We start from the raw sequence: 12,751 nt of genomic DNA, 5'->3' as shown, positions 1-12,751 counted from the left end.
CGTGTATCCCAGAACTTAAAGTATAACAAAAGAAAAAAAAGGAATATTGTACTAGGAGTTTAAAACTTGCCTTGATAATACACCTACTTAGAAAGATCAAGTGCCTTAATGAGTTGCATTTTGGTTTGTCATCTACAAAATGAATTAAACTGATTTTTTTTTTTTAAAAAACCACACAATGTTGAAAAACACATATTATAAAAACCAAATACCTCTTTACTTCTCAGACACTGTATCACTGCCTTCAAGGTACCACATTCCTCTTTCAGTAACTGAACGGCAACATAGTGTTCCCTCTTTAAGGTTTCAGTTTCTGAAATATGTCTGGATTCCATGTCCAAAATTTCAGCAGCATGTAGTTCTTGCATCTTCTCAATTTTTTCAGTAAACTGACTGATTATTTCAGTAACTTCTTCTGAGGAACATTCACTCTGTAAATTAATTTGTATTCCTGCATTTTTAACAAGAATTTGTGGAGTCTGATTGCTGCTACTGATCTTCAGAGTCCCATCTGTCTGGGATGCAATGCTCTTACTCAGTTTTATAGGAAGTGGCTCAAACATGCAGGCCTTTTTGCTTTCTTGTACCTCAGTCTCATCTTCTTTTTCTAAAATGGACAATTTCTCTTTTGCCTCTGCGAGGTGATCCCTAACTTGGCTTAAGTCTTTCTGAAGAGATGTCATATTTGTTTCTTTTACCTAAAACGTAATGAATAGAACAGTAGGGCATTCAGTTAAAATCTTCCCATATTAAATGTAGAATTTAAAGGGTGTGGGAGGAATGTAATTCATGATTATACGTTCATTTTCCTCAGAGTAGTAGGAAAAACATTTCAGAAACGCTCACAGTTTACATATATATATTTGTATGTACGTATGGTCATAGATTACTATAGAAATGAAATAATTTTATTAGCTTCTATTTTTGGTTCTCATGGGATATACAGTTCTCTTTAACAACTTTCTACTCCTTCATTAACAGAATGGAAATAAAAAGTATCCTCCTAAGAAAGATTTCCAGGAAAACCAAGCAAGAAGATGTTGGTAAAGAAATTTATAACAATGAAAGTTTTCATCAAATCCACAAAATACTTTTTATCTAGCTTTTAAGTTATGGAGCTCATTTGTTATAAAAGAGTATATACTTTGAAACGTAATTAAGATAGGTAGAAATGAGTGAATTAGGAGCTATGTTACTTATCTTACCAAAAGCTCTTCTTGAAGTTTTTCAGCCTTTTCTTTATAACTGGCAAGTTCTGCTTTGGTAGCCACTGATTCAGCTCTAAGAGCCTCGAGTTCATTAAAAAATCCACTTTCTTCATTGCTATGAAATAGCTCAGTAGTTGTCTGAATGACAGCGGAAACACAAGAAACACATAATTTAAAAAAAATATAGCTAAATTCAAGGCTCTTATACATTCTAATAAAACCATCCAAGGAATGACTGCCTACAGATATAAGGAGTTGGAACAAATCAATGCTCTTTCCAAAAACAGAGAAGCTTTTTCAGAACCATCATCTTATATTCTTGAGACAATGATTTTCTTCTTGAGAAAAGAATGATTTTCTGGGAATAAAAGGTAAGTAATGTTATTCATATACATCCTAAAATGGAAAGTTACATTACTATTTTAGGCCAGGCACGGTGGCTCACGCCTGTAATCCCAGCACTTTGAGAGGCTGAGACAGGTAGATCATTTGAGGCCAGGAGTTTGAGGCCAGTCTGGGCAACGTGGCGAAACCCTGTCTCTACAAAAAATACAAAAATTAGCCAGGTGTTGTGGTGCACACCTGTAGTCCCAGCTGCTCAGGAGGGAGAGGTTGCAATGAGCCAAGACTGCGCCACTAAACTTCAGCCTGGGCAACAAAGCAAGACTCTGTGTCCAGGAAAAAAAGAAAGTTATATTACTATTTTAATTATCTATAACTTAAGTAACTTAGTTCCAATGAAGGAGGAAAAAGCCAGGGAATTATTATTCTTTGCAAAATATATAATTATAGAATTGTGATTTATCAGTTAATCTTCTGGTGTTTGGAGAAGACTGAAGTTCAGCTACTCAAAGTTATAAATTTATAAGGTGAGAATTTGGAGGAAAAAAAAGCTCTTGTCCTATCTGTCATATGCTAAGAAATAACTGCGATTTCAGATCTTCTCATAAGTAAACTTACAGAGGTCAACTACGCATTTTTACTTAAAACAGATGAAATCTATTATCAGGTATAAAATTTGTAAAAGCTGGCCAGGCGCAGTGGCTAACACCTGTAATCCTAGCACTTTGGGAGGCCAAGGCAGGCGGATCACTTGAGGTCAGGAGTTTGAGACCAGCTTGGCTAACATGGAGAAACCTCGTCTCTACTAAAAAAAAAAAAATATATATATATATATATATATATAAATTAGCCGGGTGTGGTGGTGCGTGTCTGTAATCCCAGCCGCCTGGGAGGCCGAGGCAGGAGAATTGCTGGAAACCCAGGAGGTGGAGGCTGCAGTGAGCTGAGATCACACCACTGAACTCCAGCCTGGGCGACAGAGCGAGACTCTGTCTCAAGAAAAAAAAAAAATTGTAAAATATGTCACCCACACATTAATTAATTCAGTAGATGCTATTAAATAATAGATTTCTTTCTGTAAAGTCTGCATTCTTTGTCAATCCTAACATATTTTCATACTTATTATTACTTAAAAGGAATGATAACATAACATGCATATTAGAAGCAAATTAAGAAAAAAATCCCCATAAATCCTAGAGAACATTTGCTAAAATTAATGTTTCTTAGTTTCTTCTGACTGCTCCATTTAATGATGATGTTAATGAAATAAATATCATATTTAAAGACCATAAAATACAGTCTGTATCCATTATTTTAGTGATAATAATATGACTACACAGTGTTAAGTTAAATTTGGCCTGAGGCTGTCTCTGTATCTTGAGTTCCTATGTAAGGAACTACAATCTAACTTAGGAGTACGTAAGCAAACTGAAAACGTATCTTAGGAGTATAATAAACAGCCAACTCTTAGCTAATGACAAGCAGTCAACTGAGCAGACTGGGTCCAAATAAGGCAAACACCTAACTGTAACTAATCAAGCTATTTCTGTATTTTATTTGGTAGTTCTGTCTATAAATATTCACTGGCCACTGTTGCACAAAAGAGATTTGTGAAACTCCTCTGGTTCTGAATGCTACCCAATACGTGAATCCTTTTTTGTTCAAATAAACTCTCGTAAATTTAGTTTGTCTAGTTTTTCTTCTTCTTTTTTTTTTTTGAGATGGAGTCTCGCTCTGTCACCCAGGTTGGAGTGTGCAGTGGCGCGATCTTGGCTCACTGCAAGCTCTGCCTCCCGGGTTCACAGCATTCTCCTGCCTCAGCCTCCCGAGTAGCTGGGACTACAGGCACCCACCACCACGCCCGGATAATTTTTTGTATTTTTAGTAGAGACGGGGTTTCACCGTGTTAGACAGGATGGTCTCGATCTCCTGACCTCAAGATCCACCCGCCTCGGCCTCCCAAAGTGCTGGGATTACAGGCGTGGGCCACCGCGCCTGTCCTAGTTTTTCTTTTAACAAGAGTTTATTTTTTATAAGTGGTATATTTTTATAAAAACCTTCTTGTATAAATTGTTAGATGTAAACAGAACACCATATTTAGTAAATTAGCAATCAGCTTAGTTTCTTGGGGTATTTAAATGAAACTAATAAAATACAAAACTAACCTTGAGAACTTCAACATCTTGAGGGCTTCTTTTCTTTTCTTTCTCTCTCTGTTTTTTCTCATTGCCCTCCAATAGCTTCTGTAGTTCTAGCAGCTTCTTTTCTTTTTCTAAAACATTTTTTTCTGCAATTTCTACTTGTTCTTTTTCTAAAATCAAACTAGTATGCATTTCAACAACCTGGCTTTCTAATTCTGATATTCTCAAGGTTAATGCTGATATATCTGACCCCAACTCATCTTCTCTTAGTTGATTTAAATTCTGAATATTTGTTCTTTCAGGTTCTGATGAAATTGTTTGATTATCTTGACAGAATTTTGCATATTCCTGAACTGCCTCAAGTTGGATTTGACTGACAAGAGCAGCAGCCACTTTTTCTTCAACTATTTTCTGTAGGTTTACAATCTTCTTTTGAAGCATTTCTGTTTCAAACTGGCCTTGTTCTTGCATGTCTTTTATTTGTTTATAACACTGGGTAAGTTCTAAGTCCTTTGCACTAACAGTGCTCTCAAGTTGTAGCAACCTTGTTTCCAAATTAATTATGGAACCTTTGCCATTTTCTTCAAAAGATTTGAAGTATGTCTGATTTTCTAGGGATTTAAGAGCATCCTCTGTAAGGACTACTTCTAGTTCAGGTTTGTCTTTGCTCAGATGATCTATAGCCACGTTAACACTATTCTCTGGTATGCTTTGAATCTTTTCCACACTTTCACGTTCTCTCTTTAAGCTGAATAATTCCTGTGTTAGCTGATTCATTTTAAAATTGGTTTCTTTAAGTACATTTTTCATGAAGGTCATTTCTTCATTAGCGGTTTCTACTTGCTGTTCCAAGGCCAGCTTTTCAGCTATAACCACATCCAATTGATGTTTTAAACTGTCTGCTTCTTCTGAGAGGGAATGAGCATTCATTGATGTCTTCTGTCCAATATTTGCCAATTCCTGTTGAAGTTTTTCAATCACTTCATTGAGCTGCTCTATTTCTTCTTCTCTATTTCTCTTCACACATTCTTGATCACTCATCAAACATTCTATTTGGGTTTCAAGATCCCTTATCAGTTCATTTTTTTCTTCAATAACCTAATAATTAATGAAAAAGGTAACATACATAATATATATGTATTTACATTTTGAAAATTTTACTTTATTTTAGGGCAGTACCTCAAAGAGATGATCACACACAAAAATAATACACTACTTCTCAGACATACTACTTAATTTCATTATAGACCAATATCTCCCCCATCATATCAAACAAGGCTCAGAAAGTTCTGTTAAGTATAAAGTAATATAAGCTTTTAGTTGCTGATTCCCTATTAGGAAAATAGTCAATATCAATACTTCTTAATGGAAAAGGATGAAGTACGGAAATAAAGTCTACAACCGATGGCACCAAAGGTAATTACCTTACTTAACTCATATTAAATATTATAATTTATAATAGATTTGGTTAGAATAACATGATAAAATCTAAGTCACAGAGCCTTTCTGAAAAACATTAGAATCCTATGACAATATTAGGAGGGGAGAAAAATACATATAAATTATTAAACCAATGTGTCTTTGCTTTTTTTTTTTTTTCTTTTTGAGACAGGGTCTCACTCTGTCACCCAAGCTGGAGTGCAGTGGCATGATGAGGCTCACTGCAGCTGGGACTACAGGTGGTATGCCACCATGTCCAGTTAATTTTTATATTTTTTGTAGAGACAAAGTTTCACCATGTTGCCCAGGCTGGTCTTGAACTCCTGGGCCCAAGCAATCCGCCCACCTAGGCTTCCTAAAGTATAAGGATTACAGGTGTGAGCCTCTGTGCCTGGCCACCAATGTGTCTTAATAAATTAAAATTAATAAAAGAGAATTGGGCCAGGCGTGGTGGCTCATGCCAGTAATACCAGCACTTTGGGAGGCTGAGGTGGGTGGATCACCTGACATCAGGAGATAGAGACCAGCCTGGTCAACATGGTGAAACCCCATCTCTATTAAAAATACAAAAAATTAGCCAGGTGTGATGGTGGGTGCCTGTAATCCCAGCTACTCGGGAGGCTGAGGCAGGAGAATCACTTGAACCTAGGAGGTGGAGGTTGCAGTGAGCCGAGGTTGCACCATTGGACTCCAGCCTGGGCGACAGAGCGAGATTCTGTCTCAAAAAAAATAAATAAAATAAAATAAAATAAAATAAAATTGGTTTGTTTTTTAAATTCAATGGGGAGCAACATTATAACCATTTTGCCCTTTAAAACTCTGGTTCATATTAATTTCATAATCAATTTTAAATGAGTATACCTTGTTATCTGTTGTAATTTTAAGTTGCTGCTGGAGTTTCGTAACTTGTTCATTTAATTGGTCAATTTCTACCTCTTTTTCCTGTATTATTTGAGCAAATTTCCCAAATAGCACATGTTGGTCTTGAGTAGACATGGCATCAGATTCCTTTATGGCAAGTCCCAGTTTCTCCATGTCATCCTAGGAACAAAAATAATTATCACAGTTGGATATATCATTACCTATCATTTTCAGAACATAATTACAAAAGAAATCAGAGCCTATAACGTACAAATGAATAAAATCAGAGACACCATATGGTTACTGTAAATCAATAATTCTAAAATATTTTGATAAATGATCCCAAAATTTTCATTTATGATGAATTCAAATGTTCAGGTTGGGCTGAAAATAAGCTGTATGCAAATGTGTCTGCCTGTTAATGTTCCTCTGTTGAGTATTATTTAACAGCTGGATTTATCGAATGCTTAATAAAGCAATATAGGGGCCAGGTGTGGTGGCTCACGCCTGTAATCCCAGCACTTTGGGAGGCCAAGACAGGCGGATCACGAGGTCAGGAGATCGAGAGCATCCTGGCTAACACGGTGAAACCCCATCTCTACTAAAAATACAAAAATTAGCCAGGCGTGGTGGTACGTGCCTATAGTCCCAGCTACTCGGGAGGCTGAGGCAGAATTGCTTGAACCAGGGAGGCGGAGCTTGCAATGAGCCGAGATCACACCATTGCACTCCAGCCTGGGCAACAGAGTGAGACTAAGTCTCAAAAAAAAAAAAAAAAAGAAAGAAATAATAATAATAATAATAATAAAGCAATATAGGACTGAAACTATGACTTATTTACAGATAAAAGTTTTTCTTAACTAATTACCTTAAATAATTTGTTTTCCTGTTCAAGTTCTTGTAGGCGGGTAGTAGATTCCTTTTTCTGTATTTCTAATTGCATATGTAATTGTTGAACTTCTTCATTCTTATTTTCCAGTTCTTCTCTAAACTGTTCTAATTGCTCTTCTAAGTTTGTAATCTTTAATAACAAAATTATCAAAAGAGAAAAAATGTTTATACAAACGTTTATCAAGATAAAATGAAGAGTGCTATATTAGCTTTACAAAGTATGCATGCTTAAAACATGAGTCATAAGAATAAAGGAATGTGGTTTTTCTAAGCCAGGTATAATCTGTGTTACCTGTGTGGTTCCTAGACATGCTCAAACTGGCCATCCTTAAACTATCCTACACAAAGCAGAGAGGAAACCTCCTGAGGAAGGATAAAAGGAGCCATTTCCTACCTTAGTCTCTTCTCCTGAAGCAGAAAAGAGTCATAGGAGGAAGGGAAAGAGTCCACATATTAAATCTTAGTTTATGTTACATTAAGTTGCTATCAAAAGGCCTAGAAAAGTTGTAGAACTGTTTGTTTTGTTAGCCACCATATAAGACTAACTCAATTTAGTCCAAAAATATCTAATTAACTTACTAAAAGGCCTGGCTGCCATGTGGTTTGTTAAGCAGAAGGAAGCCAAGATAGAAACTAAGACCAAGAGATCCTTAGGTCTGAATTACAAAAACCTTAGAGTAAGTGAATTATACAATTCAGGAGAAAATTAGAGAGCTCCTATAGGTAGGACAACAGAAATTTATTTAATCATTTTGAGGATGGATTATGAATAATGGTAAAGCAACTGCTTTTTGATGGTTAGAGACTGAAACGAATGATGAATATTAAGAATTATTTTTATATTTGAAAATTGGTTTTGACTGAGGACAGTAACATTCATTTAGCTCACTGGTTTGTTGCTACTTAATACAAAGTGAATGAATGATTTCCAAATGTGTATTTACCTCATGATCAAAACTGCTGATCAAAAAGCAAACTAAGATGCAGGAGCATCTCTGTTATCTAAGGCAACAGAGCCTATCCTCAGCAACACTTAGTGACAAGTGGCTCAGAAAGCAGCTTATGAATCATTTACTGCCTTAGAAACTGAAAGAGGGAATCGCTGATTACACACTAACACATCACATACTGAGAACCATATCTGAACACTGGCAAATCCTTAAAAACCAGTTAGCTTAGTATTTCCTAAACAGTATCAATACTAGTAGTAACAGCCATCACTTGTAACAGTTTACCGCTAAGCACTGCACAAAGTGCTTTATATGTATTATTTCTTAAAACCCTGTTACAACTTTATAAGATCTGTTCTGAGTATCCCCATTTTAGAGATGAGGATGGACGTCACAGAGAGGAGTAATTTGCTTTCAGGCCACATGGCGAGTATGTGGAGAAGCCAGCTTTTGAACCTGAGGAGTTTATCTCTGAATCTTCCACTCTAAACTATCACTTATCCTGCTTCTAATAACTAATGTCTAAGACTTACACTTAAAATTTTTTCTGTAACACTGGTTATTAAACTCAGTAGACACTGAAATACATTTAATGACTGAACATAAATAATTACCAGGTTGCTGAAAACTGCAATGATTATATCTTCTTCAAAGTGATTTAACATAGTATTTACAACTATCCCTACATTTCTGTAACTACTTTGATGACAAGGTATTATTTTAAAATCAACACATAAATAGTTATTTAAGTTCAAATTGCTGCCCTATCTCATACGAAATTTCCTTTTTTTATACAACAGTTTATGATCAATTTCTTAACTTTGTGACATGAAGCCTTGCTATTCAGTGTGGTCTCGAGAGCAGTAGAGTTGGCATCATGTGGGAGCATGCTGGGTGTGCAAAATGCCATGTCACACCCCACACTTGTGTTTTATTTTTTTTTTAATTTTTGACTCATTTTATTGTTTTACAGTAATCAGATAGGAAATGAACTCTATTATATATTCCTTTTTAATCTTTTTTAAAAAATTATACTTTTCTGGGATACATGTGCAGAATGCATAGGTTTATTACACAGGTACACACGTGCCATTGTAGTTTGCTGCACCCATCAATCCGTCATCTACATTAGGTGTTTCTCCCAATGCTATCCCTCCTGTACCCCTCACCCCCTAAAAGGCCCTGGTTTGTGATGTTTCCCTCCCTGTGTCCATGTGTTCTCATTGTTCAGCTTCCACTTATGAGTGAGAACATGTGGTGTTTGGTTTTCTATCCTTGTGATAGTTTGCTGAGAATGATGGTTTCCAGCTTCATCCGTGTCCCTGCAAAGGACATGAACTCATCCTTTTTTGTGGCTTCATAGTATTCCATGGTGTATATGTGCCACATTTTCTTTATCCAGTTTATCATTAATGGACATTTGGGTTGGTTCCAAGTCTTTGCTATTGTGAATAGTGCTGCAATAAACCTATGTGTGCATGTATCTTTATAGTAGAATGATTTATAATCCTTTGGGTATATACCCAGTAATGGGATTGCTGGGTCAAAAGGTATTTCTGGTTCTAGATCCTTGAGGAATCGCCACACTGTCTTCCATAATGGTTGAACTAATTTACACTCCCATCAACAGTGTAAAGGTGTTCCTATTTCTCCACATCCTCTCCAGCATCTGTTGTTTCCTCTTTAATGATTACCTTTCTAACTGGCATGAGATGGTATCTCATTGTGGTTTTGGTTTGCACTTCTCTGATGACCAGTGATGATGAGCTTTTCTTCGTATGTTTTTTGGCCATATAAATGTCTTCTTTTGAGAAGTGTCTGTTCGTATCCTTTGCCCACTTTTTGATGGGGTTGTTTTTTCTTGTAAATTTGTTTAAGTTCTTTGTAGATTCTGGATATTAGCCCTTTGTCAGATGGATAGATTGCAAAAATTTTCTCCCATTCTGTAGGTTGCCTGCTCATTCTGATGATAGTTTCTTTTGCTGTGCAGAAGCTCTTTCATTTAATTAGATGCCATTTGTCAATTTTGGCTTTTGTTGCCATTGCTTTTGGTGTTTTAGACATGAAGTCCTTGCCCATGCCTATGTCCTGAATGGTATTGCCTAGGTTTTCTTCTAGGGTTTTTATGGTTTTAGGTCTTAGTCTTTAATCCATCTTGAGTTAATTTTTGTGTAAGACTTGTGTTTTAACAAGATCCCTGGGTGATTTGCATGTGCATTAAAGTTTGAAATGCACTGGTCTAAAGCACTAACTTTCCTATTCTAAGTAGCTGAAGTTCAGGCATCATATCAGACACTTCAATTCCCCCAAATGACACTATGGGACATTCTTTCCTCTTATTCAGTCAGGCTCTAGTTTAGTACTAGGCTCTCTTCTTATTGAGCCTGTAACCACCTACAACCAGAAGAACATTATTAAGATTTAAAAACAAAGGCTGGTAAATATTTGTTTTAATCTTGTTTAATTTATCTAATAATTGAAATTAATGTTTGGATTAATTTGCATCTATTTTTGTTTTCTTTTTTTTTTGAGATGGAGTCTCACTCTGTTGCCCACGCTAGAGTGCAGTGGCGTGATCTTGGCTCACTGCAAGCTCTGCCTCCCGGGTTCACAGCATTCTCCTGCCTCAGCCTCCCGAGTAGCTGGGACTACAGGCGCCCGCCACCACACCCGGCTAATTTTTTTTTTTTTTTTGTATTTTTAGTAGAGATGGGGTTTCACCATGTTAGCCAGGATGGTCTCGCTCTCCTGACCTAGTAATCCACCCACCTCGGCCTCCCAAAGTGTTGGGATTACAGGCGTGAGTCACCACGCCTGGCCTGTTTCCTTTTTTAAAAAGTGTTTTTATCTCTTTCAAATGTACATATGTCTCCTTAATTACACAGTAGATTCCTTGACGTCCACCGCTAGTTTTACATTTGGGTACTGGTGCTACAGGTGCATTAAGAGCTCACTAAATGTTGAATGGCAGTCTTTAACACTTCTCACCAACAAGACAAAATGGGCCCCAATGCTTTGGCAGTATAGTATCACAAGGGCTTCAGACTCACAGAAATCTGAGAGGAACTCCTTTTCAACCACTTAAGGTGTGACCATGATCAAGTTATTTAACTTCCCTTAAGGCTCAGTTTACACATCTGTAAAATGGGGATAACAGAGTCTGTCCTCGGGAAGAAAGTGTTAACGGTAAAAGGGCATTTAAATACTTAGTACTGTCTAATTAGATAGGCCTCAACAAAACTATTATTATTTATTATTGCTAACTCTAAGCTAGATCTCATTAGCTCTACAGAGAGCTAAAACCTATGGAACGTATCTTTTTCTAAAATCCTTCTATTCCTTTCCCCATTTTCTACCTCCTCCTATAATTCTAAAACTCCTTTCTTTTAGAGTTCTCTTTTTATTCATCCTGCATTTCTAAATTTCTAATAAGCTTAAAAAATGTTTTATACAAATTTAGGCTCTGAGAGAAAAGTATCTCAAATACCATGATACATAGGGACATCTTATATTTATACTCCATCAGATATCTGAAAGCATTTGCCTAGTTTCTGGGGAAAAAATGCTTAAGAAGTTATTTTCAATAAAATACATTTTAATTCTATGTTCCTGCCTCTCAGTCTCCAGTTATGGTAGGTGAATGGGTTTTGATAAAGTACTTGTTACTGTTATTAGGGTCAGCTGTCAGTTTAACCTCTTACTCATTTACCGTTTCTCTCCTTATCTATAAAAAACATCAGTCAGTTGACAGATGCCCTCTAAAGTTTCTCATAGTTTTGAACAACTATGATTCTGAGTAAAAGGTAGACAGTTATTAGATACTTAATTCAAGATAGCAGTGCTATATTATATTCAGAAGATAATAAAAATATAAAATCAGTAAGGTTAATCAATTATCCACAGTCAACTATCATTGCTTTGGGTCCAGTTGAGAAGGTCTGTCTTTTTAGGCAACATATAAATTACTTTACTCAGTTTAAGGGAAATCTTTAAATGTTAGCTCTTTGAAACACAGAAATAGTTACATATAAACAAAAATGCTCCCCACCTCCAATAAAAAAAATCAAAAGTCAAAATAAATAAGAGCCTCTCAGGTAAACATTACTCAGTATTATGTGATAGTGAGAAAATAATCCTTCTCATGGAAATGATTTCAACTACAGTCACTTACATAGATGCCTTTTTTCTCCTCTAATCTACAGGTTTTCTGAACTATAGTTTTAGCTGATATCTAAATCATTCTTATATTTTTCAAAGCAGCTTAAGTTCATAACTATTTGTTAAAATATAGTAAGTCTTCTCAGAATATTAGAGACAAAAATGTAATTTTAAAAATTTTAAACATTTTAAATGATAAGATATAGCTAGACAATGTAGATAGAGTAGGATATGTTTTTTAAAAACTATTAGTAGACAAAGGCTTAAATAAGTTATAAATTAGGAAGTTGAGGTGACCATTGTTCTGAAAGTAGATTTTTAGTTTTTTGGAAGAAGGGGCAGAGAAACAAAGGAGAACTTTATATAATTGCTTAATTGCTTTACTATTAAAGCAATTTACTATTAATCTTTTTGTTTTAAGAACATATTCTGTATATTGTAAAACAGGACTATAATCTCCCAGGGCAATACAATAAAAAAAAAAAAAACCACACAGCAAAGCAGCAATAATTCAATATGTATTCTACGGTTAGGAGAAAAGGGATATATTGCCTTTTGTCCTAACACTACTATATCTCTCCACCCTCTACACTCCTGCTAAACTGGCCTTCTTCCTGTTCCTCCGAACTTCGTCCTGCTTCAAGGCCTTTACACTGGCTCTTCTCTCTATCTGGAGCACTCTTCTTTCCCGTCAGCTTAATTACTCATATGTTTACTGCCTTCAAGGTCAATTTTGGCATTGAGCTGAGAAACAGCCTCA

The 12,751-nt window shown here is 35.9% G+C and overlaps 1 protein-coding gene across 3 annotated transcripts in view; it reads right to left on the bottom strand.

Moving 5' to 3' along the window:
- The window catches only part of AKAP9 (A-kinase anchoring protein 9), a 169,812-nt gene that overhangs the window by 26,806 nt on the left and 130,255 nt on the right, over positions 1 to 12,751 (bottom strand). For all 3 annotated transcript variants that reach the window (NM_005751.5, NM_147185.3, NM_001379277.1), the window contains 5 exons: positions 6,861 to 7,013; positions 5,993 to 6,172; positions 3,716 to 4,789; positions 1,206 to 1,346; positions 213 to 698 (listed from right to left, as the gene is read on the bottom strand). In NM_005751.5, the coding sequence (NP_005742.4) occupies positions 213 to 698; positions 1,206 to 1,346; positions 3,716 to 4,789; positions 5,993 to 6,172; positions 6,861 to 7,013 (2,034 nt within the window). The remainder of the gene's footprint in view (positions 1 to 212; positions 699 to 1,205; positions 1,347 to 3,715; positions 4,790 to 5,992; positions 6,173 to 6,860; positions 7,014 to 12,751) is intronic.

The sequence above is a fragment of the Homo sapiens genome, chromosome 7 (genome assembly GCF_000001405.40).
Source record: "Homo sapiens chromosome 7, GRCh38.p14 Primary Assembly".
Taxonomy (NCBI): Eukaryota; Metazoa; Chordata; class Mammalia; order Primates; family Hominidae; genus Homo; species Homo sapiens.
Note: the sequence above shows the minus strand (reverse complement) of the source record. Positions and strands in the feature narration are given on the sequence as shown.